Consider the following 18,235-nt stretch of genomic DNA (forward strand, 5'->3'; position numbering starts at 1 on the left):
ATCACACAATTTTACTCCTCTGCTTAAAACTCATCAACAGTTCTCCAACTTTCCCAGATTCAGCACCTACATACTTAGCACAGTCTGTAAGGCCGTGCGTGATATGGCTCCCCTCTATCGCCAAGGATCCCCTAGTTTCCTTGGCACAACCACACTGACCTCCTTGCCACTCCCTGCCCACGTCAGGGACTCTGCACTGCCTGTCCCTCTATGTGGGACACTCTTGCCCCCGCGTTATCCACATGGCTTGCTCCCTTTCCCCTGCCACATCTATGCTCAAATGTCGCCTACTCAACAAGGCCTATCCAGACCACCCTGTCTGAAACTGCATGGCCCATCTGCTCTCCCTGCTTCATTTTATTCCCACAGCACTTATACCTTCTAAAACACCTCATGATTTACTTCAACATTCAGTTTATTGTTTGGCTACCCCCACTACAATGCAAGCTCCGTGACAGAAGGAAATTCTGTCTGTTCTGTACATATTGTCTCCAGGGCCTTACTGAAGTGTAGGCCATATTCCACCACCCTCCTATCACCTCTAAGTAATGAGAAGACGGCAAAGAGAATTTGTTTTCTTTTCAAGGCTATGGTCACAGAGAAGGTATATGTATATGCTGGACGTCAGTGACAGTATGGCTGTCTGGGCACTGCTTCACTTCCAGATCTCAGTACAGTATGAAGGCTTAGTACATACTTATTGAATGAATAAGTGAACTAAACATTATGAAAACTTTGCTTTCTCAAGAATATGAGAAGAGAAAAATGGACATAAAGTCTAGGAAAATCATGTAAACTGCTTCTTCCCACCCCACATAAAAAAATAAATCACATAATTTTAGTACTGATACTATTAAAACTTTCACCGCAAATTTTAATAGAGCACAAATGAAAATAGTGTGTGAGATTAGATAAAATCATTAGGGTTGCAAAAAATGTTATAAGCAAGATCAGTAAGCATAAGAGAGAACTCTAAACCCCTTCATATGATGTACAATTTTGTCCAATCTGACTTAGCTACAAAACCCTGGCCATATATGAGAAGGTCCCTGGGAATGAACTATTAGGAAATGTACTACTTGTAAATGTCACCAAAAGCAGTTCACAAAATACCAGCCTAACTTTCACATTTCTCATATAATTGTCATAATTTTGTCTCTCTTAAGGAATACCAAACACCAAGGCAGCACTACTTGGCAAAGTAAAGCACTAATAAATGCTTTTATGCCAGTCAACAGGAGGAATGTAAAAAAAAATTATTATTCATATTATACATGCATACTTCTAAATATATCATCTTTCAACTCTTTTATGTTTGCATTAATCAGGGAGTTACAGATTTAAATAACTTCGACAGTTTTACAATATGGTTCCTCCAATTAGCACTTGATAATTACAATATATCCTAACTTTAGAATGTCAGGTATCTCATACTGCGCTCATTTCCAGTAAGATTACTAATTACCATTCCTGTCATTTTGTCTTGCTGTTTCCACCACGAAAACAATTTTTCAAAAATTTTAGTCTATCCACAAAAATTATGACTTGGTTAAAATCAAAGAAATATTAGTCATAATAAATCTAATCACCTTCCAAAGACAGACAACAGGAAATACCAACAAGTTCCAAAAGGTGACAGTACTGGCATTATTCACTTTCTTTGCAAAGTTTCTTAACCATTACTATACCTCCCTTCCGTTATTCTTGAGGAGCTCTGGGGAAACTGCAGAAGGCACTGAATTTGTAACTGGAAGATGCAAGGGAGCCCCAGTTCTGCCTGTGAGACAAAGAAAATCATTTCAAAATCCTGAACTTCAGTTTCTTCATCAGCAAAATGAGGACAGTAACAATAACAATACCTATCACTTACTGAGTACTACTTGCCAGTCATGAAATAGCGTAATAGCAATGCTAATAATAATGAAAATATAATTTTGACATGATGATACCAGGTAGATGCTAACTCTGTGCCAAGCCTTCTTCCAAGTACTTTAAAAATGATGACTCATCTACCTATCACAACAAACTACCCATGGGGTAGATACTGTTATCCCCATTTTACCAATGAAGAAATCGAAGCACAGAGAGGCCAGGTAACTTAAATTCACAATATCGCAGAACTTCTGAATTGCAAAGCTGGAAATCAAACTCATGCAGTCTGGCTACAGAGTCCATGTACTTCACCAATTTGCTGCAGTGCTTTACATCTATTTTCTCAATTAATACTTTAAATAACCAATAACATAGATGATATTACAATCCATGTATGACACATGAACAAACTGAGGAACAGAGAAATTAAGTAACATATCTAATATTAAAACTAACTGGTCAGGTGCAGAGCTGGGATATGCATCAGGCACTTGGACACCAGCCAGATGACACAGTTAAACCACCACCTATAGTATCACCTACCTCCAGATGCTACAAAGGTTTCCAGAGAAGAGTCTGGAAACAGGCCTACAAAGGGTAAATGAATCACAGTGAGGACCAATGGGACAAAGAAAGGAAGAGAAGAAACACAGCAAAGAATATGGGACAAATAAGCTGCTCTTATCCCCATGCAACACCCTAATTCACCAAATCATGAGGCTCATGTGATAGTCCTCTAGTGTCAGTAATCCTGCCCCAATATGAATTCAGATAAAAGTCATCACACTACCTGCTAGACACGTGGCTGGTACTTGACAGATGTATCAAAGTCACCAGAAAATAACTATAACCACTAAATTAAGCAACAGTGAAATACAAAAAATAGATGGGAAAATGCAACTCTTACCATGAAAATCTTATTTAATATTTCTGCCAATTGGATAAGACAATAAAATGTGTATTCTCAAGTACCTCTAAAATTAATGGCATAAAAACTATTTCATTATCTAAAAAGGCAAAGACAACAAAACCCTGACCTTATTAATCTAAGTAGTATTTTTACGGACTCTAATTAATGATAATTTCTTATTTCTGTTTTGACATATATACAGAGATCAAAGCTAAATTCCAGATTTAGAAACTGCTGAGAGGTTAACTGCTGTAATTGCTTTTTTCTTAAAGGCTCCTGAAATCTGTAAGATGCTGCATTAGTTTTTCAGATGCAGTGGTAGAAGCATGACAACACAGGACAGAAGAAGAAGTTCAAAGTGTTCAATCTATCCATATATGTTATAAAACAGAGTTTTTTTTATTGCTTATACTGACCATAATAATGCAAACATCAAAAGGCAATCCAGTAGTTACTTAACGCTAACATTGCCCAAAACAAACATAGAACTTTTATTTTATGGAAAATGTATATACACACATGCAACTTATTTCATCACCATCAATTTTTTTTACCCTATAAATGCAATTTATCCACAGTTTGACTGCTCACCTTATTTAACAAATAGCAACAGTGTCAAGCTATTGTGTCTTTCCAAGTTAGGTTAACTTTCCAAGCTAACTGAAACAGAGAAAACCACTGATCAGGCTGTAAAGGCTCTGGGTTACTTGTCAGAAATTGGGCTTTGCAGTCACAGACATATTAATACTGGCCTGGGGGTCTGATGGTGTCAGGAGGACCCCTTGTGGTGAATGTAAATCCCTTCTACAACCTGCATTTCTCAGCTAAAAGTGAAAAATCAACAATATACATTTTAAATTTATCCCTCATGATGGCCTGAAAAAGCTAACCATTACTACAGACTCCATACTCTGTATCAGGCCAGGCGAGGTGGCTCATGCCTGTAATCCCAACACTTTGGGAGGCCAAGGCAGGTGGATGACCTGAGATCAGGAGTTCAAGACCACCCCGACCAACATGGTAAAACCCCATCTGTACTAAATACAAAAAATTGGCCGCGCGTGGTGGCACATGCTTGTAATCCCAGCTACTTGGGAGGCTGAGGCAGGAGAATCGCTTGAACCTGGTTGCAATGAGCCGAGATTGTCCAGCCTGGGCAACAAGAGCAAAACTCCATCTCAAAAAGAAAAAAAAAAAAAAAAAGAAAAAAAAAAAAAAAAAATATATATATATATATATGTATATATATAATATCAGTAGCAGCTAGTGTGGATCTATCCCTCATCATATCTATATTCCAAGCAACAGACATAAATAAGACAGCTTTTCTTCTTTCCAAACGGAGCTACATAGTAGTTGGCCTTTTTTGTCAATTTCCCTCCCGTATGCTTTTGGTTTTGTCATGCTGGCATGAATGGTTGTTATTCCAGCTTACCAAGAAATTTCAGGAGTCACTTTGCTAATTCTATCTAAAAATTTGTATCATTAAAAAATGTTAAAACCAACCTAACACCCATTATAATAGCTGCTACTTTTTTAAAAAATAGAAAATAAGGTTTGGCAAGGATATGAAGAAATCGAAACCCTTGTGTATTGTTGGTGGGAATGTAAAATGGTACAACTGCTATGGAAAACAACATGGGTGGTCCTAAAAATATTAAAACTAGGACCACCATAAAGATTCAATAATCCCACTTCTGGGTATAAACCAAGGAACTGAAATCAGGTTCTGCAAGAGATATTCAAACACCCATATTCATAGCAGCATTATTCACAATAGCCAAAAGGTAGAAGTAACCCAGGTGTTCATCCACAAATAAACAACATGTGGTATATAAATTCAATGAAATATTATTCAGCCTTGAAAAGGAAAGAAATTCTAACACATGCTGAACCTTGAGGACATTATGCTAAGTGAAATAAGCCAGTCACAAAAGAATAAATAACATGATTACACTTATATAACATATCGAATGTAGTCAAATTTATGGAAGTAGGTAGTAGAATGGTGGTTTCCAGAGGATGAGGCTGGAAGGAGAGAAGCTGCTTTATGGGCATAGAGCTTCATAGTTTCAAGATGAAAAAAATTCTAGAGATCTGTTTCACAAAAATGTAATATACTTAATACTACTGGAACAGTAAGTACACTTAAAAACTGGTAAATGTCAAATTTCACATTTTTTAAAATTTATTTTTATCACAATTTTTTTTTTTTTTTTTTTTTTTTTTGAGACGGAGTCTCGCTCTGTCGCCCAGGCTGGAGTGCAGTGGCGGGATCTCGGCTCACTGCAAGCTCCGCCTCCCGGGTTCACGCCATTCTCCTGCCTCAGCCTCCCAAGTAGCTGGGACTACAGGCGCCCGCCACTACGCCCGGCTAATTTTTTGTATTTTTAGTAGAGACGGGGTTTCACCATTTTAGCCGGGATGGTCTCGATCTCCTGACCTCGTGATCCGCCCGCCTCGGCCTCCCAAAGTGCTGGGATTACAGGCGTGAGCCACCGCGCCCGGCCACAATTTTTTAACTTAAAAAATGTTAAAACCATTTTTAAAGAGTAAATCTCATTTATATTTTACAACAAATCTGCAAATATAATTATGTTTACTTTTATAAATGAAGAGAAAAGCTTTGAGAGTTTAAGAACAAGTCTAAAGCGAAAGAGACAGGAAAAAGAGACAATAACCAATCACTGACTAAGGGCTTATATTGTTCCAGCCCTGTACAAGGTGGCTTTATGTGTGTGTGTTTTAAAATGTGTCCCCCTAATAAACTTGGAGGTAATTACTAATATCATCATTTTCAAGAAAAAGAAAACTGAGGCTCACATACACAAGTAAGGACTTGTGATACAATTAGACTGTAAAAGTAAAATGTCAAAGCCGCATGCAACTCCAAAGCCCAAATCATCTTTTCCATCACCCTAAATTTAAAGGTCCATTCAGTTTATTTCAAGTATCCTAAAACTTAAACTCTGCCACATGGTATTAGATATGTGACCCTGGCACTTTTTTTTTTTAACTTTCTCTCCATAACTTAGTTTCTCGTCGGTTAAATAAAGTTTAAAATGGTATGTATTTTTCAGTTATGATAATTAAACATTACAAGCATAAAGGGCTTTGAGAGCGCCCATAACAAAGGCTCCATGTCACTGTAAGTGCATCATTACTGTCTGCCTCTTCTGTGCATAGGCAATAAATTAAGCAGTAGGGATCCCAAAATAATTGGACAGAGTCCCATCCCATAAGGAGTTGACAGACCATCAGAAGACAAGCAAACAAATCTGAGTACCCAGAAGTCTAACTTCTGGTAGACTGGTCTACTAAACCTCCAATAAATCTCCTCTCAGTTTTAAGGCAGTTTGAGGCTTATAATATGTTTATTTGTAATACTGAAACACTGTTAACAGCCTACATGTTTGATAGAAGGGGAATGAATAAATAAACCTCGGAACACCAAAATGAATGACTATTTTTAAATGTTGTGTCTGAAAATTTTTCACTGACATTGGAAAATACTCATTAACAACAAAAACAGAAACATATCAAAAAAATAAGGCAGCTCCCAGTCCTAAATTGCAAGGATTTCAAGATAAATAGATACTTTAAAACTCCTTTATCTTCTGTCCTATGTTCCAATGTGCCACACTCTCCTGATCTCTCTTTACTTCTCATTATTTTTGGTTTTTGTAGCTTCTTAAGGTAAAAACATAGACAACTGATGCTTTTTTCCTTTCAGTTATATAAGCACTTAAAGTTATAAAGTTCCCTCTTATGTACTCTTTCAAGCTGCATAATAAAGACTGATGTTATATTTTTACTATTCTGTTTCAAATAACTTTCTAATTTTGAAACATTTTCTAATTTCTCTTTTGATTTTAGACTCATGTATTATTTAGAAAGGTATTTCATTTCTAAGTACTGAGGACTTTACTGGATATTGTTTCTTTAAAATATTTGCTTTTTACATTTATTCTTTTGATCAGAAAACACACCTGCATGGTATATTTGCTGTAAGATTAATTGGAAAAAAAGAAAATACAGGCCAGGAGCAGTGACTCACATCTGTAATCCCAGCACTTTGAGAGGCTGAGGTGGGCAGATCACTTGAGGCCAGAAGTTCAAGACCAGCCTGAGTAACATGGTGAAACCCCACTTCTACCAAAAATACAAAAATTAGCAGGGTGTGGTGGCATACACCTGTAACTCCAGCTACTCAGGAGGCTGAGGCACAATTGCTTGAACCCAGAAGGCAAAGGTTGCAGTAAGCCGAGATCACACCACTGCACTCCAGCCTGCGCGGCAGAGCGAGACTCTGTCTCAAAAAAAAAAAAAAAAAGAAAAAGAAAAAGAGAAAATTATTAAATACATGGTACAAAATTCACATGGATATGCAATGAACCATAAACATCACCCCCCCTTCACCCTATTTTCTTTCCATCACATTCTCTCTAGATAGAATCACTGTTCCTAATTGTTTGTGTAACCTTCTGGAGGTGTTCCATGCATATACAAGAATGCACATATGCAAATACAGTTTCTTTTGCATTACACCAATATAATGTGTTCTACATACTCTTCTATACCTTCTTAAAACTTACTTTAAAATATATCTTCAGCCTAGGCAACAAGATGAAACCCCAACTCTATAAAAAAATACCAAACAATTAGCTGGGCATGGTGGTGCCTGCCTGTAGTCCCAGCTGCTCAGGAGGCTGAGGTGGGAGGATTGCTTGAGACGGAGGAGGCTGAGGCTGCAATGAGCCATGATTGTGCCAATGCACATCAGCCTAGGTGACAGAACAAGACCTTGTGGTTTTAAAAAAAATTTTTAAATAAAAATAAAAGTATATTGTTCACTATAGATTTTCTTGCATAAATTTTTGATTCTTAAAAATACTGTAGGCCAGGCGTGATGACTCATGCCTGTAAACCCAGCACTTTGGGAGGCCAAGGCAGGAGGATCACTTGAGCCCAGGAGTTCGAGACCAGCCTAGGCAACATAGTGAGACCCCCATCTCTACAAAAAAATTTTAAAATAGCTGGTTGTGGTGGCACACACCTATAGTCCCAGCCTGGGAGGCTGAGGTGGGAGGGCTGTTTGAGCCCAGAAGGTGGAGGCTATAATGAGCCATGATTGGGCCACTGCACTCCAGCCTGGGCGACAGAGACCCAGTCTCAAAAAAAAAAAAAAAAAAAAAAAAAAGCTGCATTAAATTATTGTTTATCTTAATTACTGAGGGTTTTGGTGACTCTTTAGATATTATGTCAAGACAAATGCCTCAGCCTAGTCCTGCTGGCACTGTCCAAAGATCCATTTCCACATTCTACTCTTTCCCCCACTGACCCCATTCTCCTCAACCACATGACTCTCAGGGGTTTGTGAAACTAGAAATGTTTCTGCTCAATGCATGTTAAACATAATCACGCAATTTTTAAAGTTTCACTCTAAGAATAAAGATATTTAACATTTCTTTTTTTTCTTTTTTTGAGATAAAGTCTGTTGCCCAGGCTGGAGTGCAGTAGTGCAATCTTGGCTCACTGCAACCACCACCTCCCAGGTTCAAGCAATTCTCATGTCTCAGCCTCCCAAGTAGCTGGGATCACAGGCGCCCACCACCACACCCAGTTTATTTTTGTATTTTTTAGTAGAGAGGGGGTTTCACCATCTTGGCCAGGCCAGTCTCGAACTCCTGACCTCCAGTGATCCACCCGCATCAGCCTCCCAAAGTGCTGGGATTACAGATGTGAGCCACCATTTCTTTTTTCAGGGACCAGAACTACAGTAAGCAAAACTGTCAAAGCCATATCTAGTTTAATTGAAATAATTACAATGTAATTTTTACACTGGACCAGCAAACTCTTGAATTCATAAAATGTCTGAATTTCAAAGGAAGCATGCCATATAAAAACTTGTTAGCAAAATCAATAAATTATGGATATTTGCATCTTCTATGATACAGCAGAAATAATGTATTCATTCACTCTTTTTCTGTCCAAGGATCCTGACTAACAGCAGCAGAGACTAAAATCAACTGCCTCATCAGGGTACAACAGAAGACAAACAAGACGGGGGTTTGTATACAGCTAGCTTACTAAGAGTCTTCCTTCCCCTTTTTTTGAGATGAAGTCTTGCTCTGTCGCCCAGGCTAGAGTGCAGTGGGGCAATCTCGGCTCACTGTAACCTCTGCTTCCTGGGTTCAAGTGATTCTCCTGCCTCAGCCTCCCAAGTAGCTGGGATTACAGGTGTGTGCCACCACACCCGGCTAATTTTGTATTTTCAGTAGAGATGGGGTTTCACCATGTTGGCCAGGCTGGTCTTGAACTCCTGACCTCCGATGATCTAACCACCTCAGCCTTCCAAAGTGCTGGGATTATAGGTGTGAGCCACCGCACATGGCCCCCTGACTTTTTAAAACCAGGATCTCTAACAACAGTAATGAAAAAAAAAAAAAAGACTTGAGATTTCTAAATCCAAGACAGATGCAACAGCTGGCAATAGAAGAGCATTTCCTTTAGAAAAAAACAGAAGAACTGCATAAAATATAAAAATCATCTGTTTGAAGACAGCAAGAACAGGAGGGGCTAAAAAACTTCAAAACCACAGAAGTTCAGCTGATCTTTTGCATTTACTTTTACCTTTGGTATGTATTTACCAATTCTGAGAAGAAGAAGCAGGTGGAGAATCTAGGCTGTGCATTCACAGAAAACTGCTGCCAGAAGACAGAAAAATCAGGCAAGGTTTTGGAACGCTAAATCCTAGAGCATTAGTATTCTTACTGTATAAAGGTGTATTTATTGTCAAATATTATTCTGCAATGAAAAGGAATGAAGTACTGATACATGCTACAACATGGATGAACCTTGAAAACATTATGCCAAGTGTTAGAAGCCACAAGAGACCACATACAGCCTGATTCCTTTTATATAAAATGTCCAGAATAGGCAAATCTATAAGAAAGTAGGTTAGTGGTTTCCTTGGGCTGAAGATAAGGAATAAAGAGTGACTCCTGGTGGGTATGGGGTTTTCTTTTGGGGTGAGGGAAATTTCTAAAATTGATGGTGGTGATTGTACTCATTGTATAGTATGAGAATTATACGTCAATTTAAAAAAAAAGACACAAAGCCTCTAAAGGCAGTGAGTAGAGATTTTCAAGTCTTACAAGACAAAGATTAAAGTGCCACACACGAGGAAGATAAGGAAAAGGAGCCGATAAATATAAAATAAATGACATAGAGCTAAAGGACAAAAAAAAATACCTTTAACAAATAAAAGCCACCAGTTGGTATTCAGAAACAACAAGTTCTAGAAGATCAACCAAGAAAGAAAAAGAAACACAAATAAATAACTAAAATTCCTAAATGAACTATAAACATTACAGAAAAGAAATCATATATCTAATAAATCATTGGTCTAAAATCTTGTTTACAATTATAAGAAATTGAAGATAAACCCTTGGCTTTCCCCTCAAAACCTAATCCTGAAACAGATTTCCCCAAATCAGTAAATAGCACTGGGGTCAGTGTCATGCGCCTGTAGTCCCAGCTACTCAGGAGGCTGAGGCAGGAGGACAGCTTAAGGACAGGAGTCTGAGGCTGTCAGCATACCATGATCACACCTGTGAATAGCCACTGCACTCTAGCATCCTGAGCAACATAAGGAGACTTTGTCTCTAAAAAATAAAAAAATAAATTTTTTTTTTGAAATTAGCAACTCCATTCTCCTAGCTGCTAATGAAAATACCTTGACATCATCCTTGATTCCTTAACTTTAGAACACAACCATCCCAACAAGTTTCTTAAAATTTACGTCACGCCTCTGCTCAAGATCCTCCAGTGGCTTCCCATCTGACTCAGAACAAATGCACAAGACCTCACAATGGCCCAGAACGCTCTAAGAGATCTAAACCACCCATGAGAAATAACACCTCCCCAATGTTCCTGCTAAACGGCCTCAAAAGTTTTAAACAAGTAGTGTTTATCAAGTTATATTCTGCTAAGCCTCTGCTATGACAGTGATGAAATTTTCTGACCATCTGTTGTTATAGACTTATTCCTATTTTCTGCATATAAAGTTCACTTCTGAAAACAACTCTCTATTGATCTCTCTCTAGCAAGATGTTTTCTTTTCTGTAGGGAAAAGAAAGAGATATCAAAATGGAGTTAGAGAGATTAGACTGTTACTGTGTTTATGCAGAAAAGGAGGACATAAAAAACTCCATTTTGAAGTTTGAATCAGCACTGCAATTACAACATTAACAAGTGACACATGATCTTAAGTAAGTTGTCAATCAGAGGTTAAAAGTATTATCACAATTGTTAAATGTGTATAGCTAATTAGAACTATGAGAGCATTAAAGAAAGGGGGAGATAGGAACAACTTTTCAACAACATATAAATGTTTATTTTATATCTATTAGACAAACTGTCCATAAACGATAGAACCAAACAGAAGGAAAAAAGCTACTTTACACCCATGAAATGTCCCAGGGCCCCAGAGCATATTATAGCAGGAGCTACTGTGGAAAAGAAAAAATGATTCATATCAACAACTCAAGAAGGAATCAAGAATCAGGATTACAATTCACTGAAGGCAAGCACCCCAGGTCCAGAGGTAAGCACCTATGCCTCAGAGTGACTTATCCTGACAGATTCTTAGAGAGCATAAATAACACCTAGGCTGCGATGTATCCATGGTTCTCTGGCCTCAGGACCCATCAACTGTAGACAGGTCCTCCCAGAAGAAAGTTATTAGTACCTCGCCTGAATATAAACGGGGTTATCCTATACTAGAGACAAGGGAAGACGGGGAGGGGTTCAAAGCTGAGTCCAATGCCAAACTGGCTTGCAAAGACCTCTATCTGAGATTCACTCTGTTATTTGAAACCAATAAAATGAAAGTTTTTTTCCTAATGCGCTGTTCATGTAATCTCAATGCTCAGTATGTCCTCATCTTTTTTTTTTTTTTTGAGACAGAGTCTCGCTCTTTGCCTCGGCTCACTGCAAGCTCCTCCTGGGTTCATGCCACTCTCCTGCCTCAGGCTCCTGAGTAGCTGGGACTACAGGCATCCGCCACCACACCTGGCTAATTTTTTGTATTTTTAGGAGACACAGGGTTTCACCGTGTTGACCTTGTGATCCACCCGCCTCAACCTCCCAAAGTGCTGGGATTACAGGTGTAAGCCACCACACCCGGCCTGTCCTCATCTTTTAAGAGTAGATCAGAGCCTAGGCAACAAAGTGAAACCCCATCTCTCCAAAAGGAAAATTTTTAAAAATAAGCCAGGCATGGTGGCATGCATCTGTAGTCCCGGCTACTCAGGAGGCTGAGACAGGAGGATTGCTTGGCTACAAGTGAGCTATGATAGTGCTATTGCCCTCCAGCCTGAGCTGGAGTAAAACTCTGTCTCTAAAATTAAAAAAATTAAGTAGGTCAGAACCTTCTAGTTTTGTGAATTCAATCTTTTTAACTAATAAAATCAATTGTGGGAAAACAAGAAGCAGGATCAATGAACACTGTAAATTTTACACATCTACATCACCTAAAGAGGTCAAGAGAAGACAAACATGTACTGTATAGATAAATCAACGTCATCCTAAATTCTCAGCAATGTACTGAGCGCTCACGAAGTCTACAACAAGGTATAAGGTAAAACACAGGAGGAGGGGCCACTATAATAAAAGACACTTCAACTAAAAGCAAAAAGAACAACTTGTTAGGCCCATTTTCTACCTGGGATGCAAATATGGGGGCCTTCCTGACTCACTGCACCCGACCAATGCTGTTGTTATGTTTCAGGGGCATCTTTAGTTGCCCTAAAAAAAAAAAAGATCAGATCTTGATCTACCTCAGAAACAATCTGTAACCAATTCAAAAACTGGACCTCCTTAACCTTCACACCTCCACCAGCAAATTAAAGAGCCATCTCCGAATGTGTCACAGCACACATCACATCAGACACTTTGGTTGCTATGATTTTTAAGCATGGCAAAGTTACAACTTGAAATACTACATAAAATTTTAAACTTAAGTCCCACAATAGTTTTAAATATAAAAATTACCATTATCTGCAGCTCATCAGTCCAATAGGACAAAGGATATTCTAGAGAACATCTTTTTTTTTTAACTTTCTAAGATGATAACCTTTTAGAGAAAAATACTGCTTTCAGTTAATTACATAAAGCTATTATAATGACTACTGCTCTTTTGGGATACGGCCTTTCCATGCATCTTAATAGCTAATAAAGTAGTTTACTCACAAACAGGAAAGCTAAACATCAAAAACAGATGTAAAGATAATTAACAGCAACAACTAAAAGCATTTGATTTCTGATCCTAGACAAATAAGATTTATATTAATGTAATACAGAAACATGGATCTCCTGTAGTACAGGTGTCATTAAAATATACACCTAATTTGCACATTTTTAAGAACATCCATTTTTTAAAATAAGTGATGGAGGGCAAGAAACTGCAAAAAATATGTTAAAGAATTTAAATTTTCTTTTTATAATCGTTATTGCATACTTTTATACTTACTTCCTGAGGAAATTATAATTTACTTCAGCTGTGGTTTTAAGTATTTCCACACCTGATTTTTCTGAAAATAAAGTTATGCCATGAATTTGTCTATATAAAATGGACTTAAATATGAGAGAATGAAAGTTTATTTTTATGCTCTAAGTATATATAAAGCCTGGACATAATTACACGTGGCTTAAAGTATACTCTAATTGGCACCCTTGAATTACCCAGGAACCACCTTTGACTACAGGCATTTGCTAGTATGTATCTCCCAAGTTTAAGGAAATCAAATGCCATCTTTAAGTAAACAATAAAAAAAAAAAAAACACAAAAAAACAAATCTGATTTAATCTAACAAAAATTGGAAAGAAAACAAAAATAATGGCATTACTACATACAGGGTTTAATGTAACTGCATATTCCTAGTCCCAAAATACATCAAATACATTTACATATTTTTAATGTGACCACAAAAGTACAACACATATTTACTACAATGTAATCTTTCCATATAGAATATGATTCAGTTGGACATAGTGGCAGTGGCTGCACGTCTGTAGTCCCAGCTACTTGGGAGGCTGAGGCAGGAGGATCACCAGAGTCCAGGAGTTTGAGTCCAGCCCAGGCAACATAGCAACACCCCATCTCTTACAAATAAAACAAAAAGAACATGACCAAAATTATTTCTTCTGTTGAAAAATATACTCAGTACAATCTCACTTTTTGTATCCTCAAACTTAGTTGATCTCTACATTATTCTAACAGTTATCTAAGAAGACAACACAACCTCCTCTTCACATCTAACACAATTCACAGTACAAAATCGAGAGTATCTTTGTCTCCCCTCATGCAAAGAGAGACGATGCAAATAGAAGGCGTCCATCACTAAGTCCACTAGTGTAGGGCTGTCCTGTTCCCTGTGCTTTCATTCTATGTCCTGACCAAATACCAGAGTGCTTTGACCGCTCTGTGACCCAGCCACGTGCAGGTTTTCCCTAGCAAGCTTGAACTCAGTATGGAGCCTTAAACATTCCCAGGCATTGATAAAGGTATCTAAGTTGCTGCACAAAACACTAAAAGAAACTAGCCCTAGACCTGAGACAAATTCCTCAAACTCTCATAAAAACTCCACACCTTAATCCCCTTGCTGCAGACATACCTAGAGAGAACACCGCCCCACTCCTTTTTGCTGTCTGTCACAAGGATTGTCGCAATCCTCTGTAAGTTTCCCCAATAAATGCTCTAGACTGATCACCCTGGTGTTTAGTACTTCTTTCTTTAGAATCCCAACCAGCCCCATCTCAGGATAATCTGGAGCACTCCCTTGTGGGAACTGCCCTGCCACTGCTTTGGGGGCAACTCCAGCCTCAGCTCAGTGGTACAAAACAAAGAGCTTCAGCTGAGGAAACAACTCCGCACCACCCCTTGGGTAAATGTCTGGCAGCAGCCACAGTATGTCCTAAAATAAAAACAGCCATCATGATTACTGTACAAATGCCATGCAAACATTTGACCAAGCTTTGTTATCCTCTTCTTCTCAATAAAATCCACTTATAAACTGACTCGTTTTCATAATCAAAATATTTTACCTAGGTGTGGTGGTGCATGCCTGTAATGTCAACTACTCAGGAGGCTAAGGCAGGAGGATCGCTTGAGCCCAAGAGTTCAAATCCAGACTGGGCAATACAGTAAGACCCCATTCTCAGTATTTTTTTTTTTGAAAAAAGAATATTTTTGCATAAAAAGTCACACCCTGCTTTCCTCCCCTCTTCCATCTTCTTACGTGAATAAAAGTAGGGTTGGGGAAGAAAAGGAAAGGGCTGGGGGCAAACAAAGGATACATCTTCTTCAACAGTCTGAACAATCTTCCAGATGCATACACAATAAACTTTATCATCTAATGAATAAAAGTATATCCTAACCTTTAAATCCAGAGACTTATTCTAAACATTTAAAGCCAGATTCGAAAAAACTATACATTTTATTTTTAAATGTTTACTAGTTCAAAATTTTTCATTCAAGAAATTGCAAAAAAATTAATGACAAGCATACATAAGTGATCAAAGTTTTCCCACATCTATCACTGCTATTGATATGTGTACTATACAAGTTCAGCTCTATATACTGCAAGTTCAGCTCTAACAATGATCAAGTCTCATCTGCCCCTAGTCCATCAAAAGATGATAGATTTAGGATCCAGTTTCCACACAAATCCAACAGGTAGCCTTCATCAACCCTACAGGCCCAGAATAAAATTATCATTTGGGGTTGCACAAATCTTCCACAGTCAAATATTACATACCATTCTGGCCATGTGGCCTAGAAGTCACATCTAGTCCCTCATTCTAGGTCACCTATGTCATACATATACCCAAACACCATTATTCTACCAGGATTTTTTTTATTTCAAAGCTGTTGTCACTAGGAGATAAAAACTAGGTAGTATGTACACATTTATTCACTTTATGGTAAATCATTTCGCAAAAGGCTTATACAATGAAAAATTATTTTGATATTTGTCCTGCTCTGGCATTAACTATTTATTAGTGATAATCTCGATGTCACAAATTAAGAAAGAAAGATACCTTTTAAAAGGGAGAGACTGAGTTACTAAAATTTACATCAAAATCTAGGCGAAGTGCCAAAAACAACTCCAAATCACCAAGGAATCATCTGAAAGATGAGTGGGGAAAAATGAACAGAAGAACAGAGTAGAGCACGGGGCCTGGCCCACGGAAGGCACTCAACTGTGTCGAATGAAAGAATAAATCCATTTACTTTTCTTGATTCACATTCACTCATCACTAGCTCCAGCTACACTTACTGTTCGTATTGACATATCCTAACATATCCCTGATAGGATGGGCAAGTAATAAATACAGACTTTTGCTTGAAGAACTTGGGATTAACAGTTATGTTCATGATGAAAAACACAACATCCTGTACATCAGGAAAGAAACACTACTTTGCATTTGGGAGGCCGAGGCGGGTGGATCACCTGAAGCCAGGAGTTCGAGACCAGCCTGGCCAAAATAGTGAAACAAAAAAATTGGCCAGGTGTGGATGGCGCCACTTGAGAGACTCAGGCAGGCCTGAACCCGGGAAACGGAGCTTGCAGTGAGATGAGATAGTGCCACTGCACTCCAGTCTGGGTGACAAAGCGAGACTCTGTCTCAAAAAAAAAAGACTAAAGAGTCATGACTATATATTACAAGTGATTCCAGACAGGATCCTGTATCAAGGGTAAGAACTGCTATAAGGGACATCACTTGCCAAAATATGACCATGGTCTACAGCCATGCCATCCAATCTCAAAAGCTAAGCAGCGTGGGGCCTGGTTAGTAGTATTGGGATTGGGAGGCTGCCTGAAAATACTGGGTGCTGTAGGCTTAAAATAAAATTGTTTTTTTAATATGAACATGGCCGGGCACAGTGGCTCACGCCTGTAATCCCAGCACTTTGGGAGGCTGAGGCAGGCAGATCACCTGAGATCAGGAGTTCAAGACCAGCCTGGACAACATGGTAAAACCCTGTCTCTACTAAAAATACAAAAATTAGCCGGGCATGGTGGTGAGTACCTGCGCTACTTGGGAGGCTGAGGCAGGAGAATTGCTTGAACCCAGGAGGCAGTGGTTGCAGTGAGCTGAGACCACACCATTGCATTCCAGCCTGGGTGACAAGAGCGAAACTCCATCTCAAAAAAAATTTTTTTAATTAAAAAAAAATAAATTCAACATGTGTAATACAACAATCACACACATAAATTCAACTGAAATGAACACAATATGAACAGCTATCCCAAGTTCATGCAATGACAAGTGAACCATGAATGACTGCCACCTGGGCTACACCAACCGGAACTGTCACCAATTCTAAAAAGCGTACCAGCACACTTTTAAGCCTTCAAAACCAGGGTTAAGTTAATGAAGACATTCCCAGAGAAAAATACAGGGATGGAGTGAGACAATAAAATATAAAAAGCAGAACAATCAGCAATCTCCCTCCTGTTCCCAAACACCAAATGTCAAAGAGGCTACCATTAGATATTTACTGTGTGATCAACACACAAATAGTTCTCTGCAGAGGCTGTAATAAACAGGTCTCATCTGCTGGAGACAGTGTCTCAAGACACAGAAGAGCATATGCATTAAATAAACAAAAAGCAACTTAGGAAGCCCTACTGTAATGCACCTTATTCTATCACTGATTCTATTAGTGCCACACATTATAGTATATCCTGAAGATCGTAAAATGATGAGCTCATCATTTAAAATAAACTGATTTTTAAACGAAAATTAGAACATACAACTTTCTACTTTGATTCCACTCCTACTCACTGTTGTGGCTTTTTAACCAAGAGTTTATTGGGAAAAAAAATGCTAAATGGCTGCTCCACAGGACATCAACAAGTACCACAAAGTAGTAATGAGCAACTCTATTTTTTTTTTGGAGACAGGGTCTCACTTTTGTCACCTACGCTGGGATGCAGTGGCATGATCTCAGCTCAATGCAGCCTCGACCCCTCAGGCTCAGGCGATCCTCCCACCTCAGTCTCCCAAGTACCTGGGACTACAGGCACGCACCACCACGCCCAGCTAACTTTTTGTTTGTTTGTTTGTTTGTTTGTTTTATTGAGAGAGGGACTTGCTCTGTCGTCCAGGCTGCAGTGCAGTGGGGTGAACATAGCTCACTGCAGCTTGACCACCCCCAGGTTCAAGCAATTCTCCCGCCTCAGCCTCCCGAGTAGCTGGGACCACAGGCATGTGCCACCACACCTGGCTAATTTTAAAATTTTTTGTAGAGATGAGGTGTTGCCATGTTGTTCAAACTCCTGGGCTCAAGCGATCCTCCCACCTCAGCCTCCCAAAGGGTTGGGATTACAGGCATGAACCTCTGCACCTAGACTTACTATGTACATTCTTAATTCTAGCAGT

At 38.7% G+C, this 18,235-nt stretch overlaps 1 protein-coding gene and 1 pseudogene across 175 annotated transcripts in view; one reads left to right on the forward strand and one right to left on the reverse strand.

Moving 5' to 3' along the window:
• The window catches only part of PTK2 (protein tyrosine kinase 2), a 344,180-nt gene that overhangs the window by 266,073 nt on the left and 59,872 nt on the right, over positions 1–18,235 (reverse strand). For 61 of the 175 annotated variants that reach the window (NR_148039.2, NR_148038.2, NR_148036.2 and 58 more), the window contains one exon: positions 1,689–1,777. The exons of 75 other annotated variants lie outside the window; for them this stretch is intronic. Coding sequence is in view for 25 of the 100 variants with exons in the window: in XM_047422045.1 (XP_047278001.1) it covers positions 1,693–1,777 (85 nt within the window). In the remaining 75 variants the exon portion in view is untranslated. Of the gene's footprint in view, positions 1–1,589; positions 1,778–6,839; positions 7,092–18,235 lie in introns of all 175 variants that reach the window. 39 more of the 175 variants (XM_047422049.1, XM_047422045.1, XM_024447209.2 and 36 more) reach the window with 3 other exon arrangements.
• RNA5SP278 (RNA, 5S ribosomal pseudogene 278) lies at positions 16,590–16,691 on the forward strand (annotated as a pseudogene).

Source organism: Homo sapiens, chromosome 8 (genome assembly GCF_000001405.40).
Source record: "Homo sapiens chromosome 8, GRCh38.p14 Primary Assembly".
In the NCBI taxonomy this organism is placed as follows: Eukaryota; Metazoa; Chordata; class Mammalia; order Primates; family Hominidae; genus Homo; species Homo sapiens.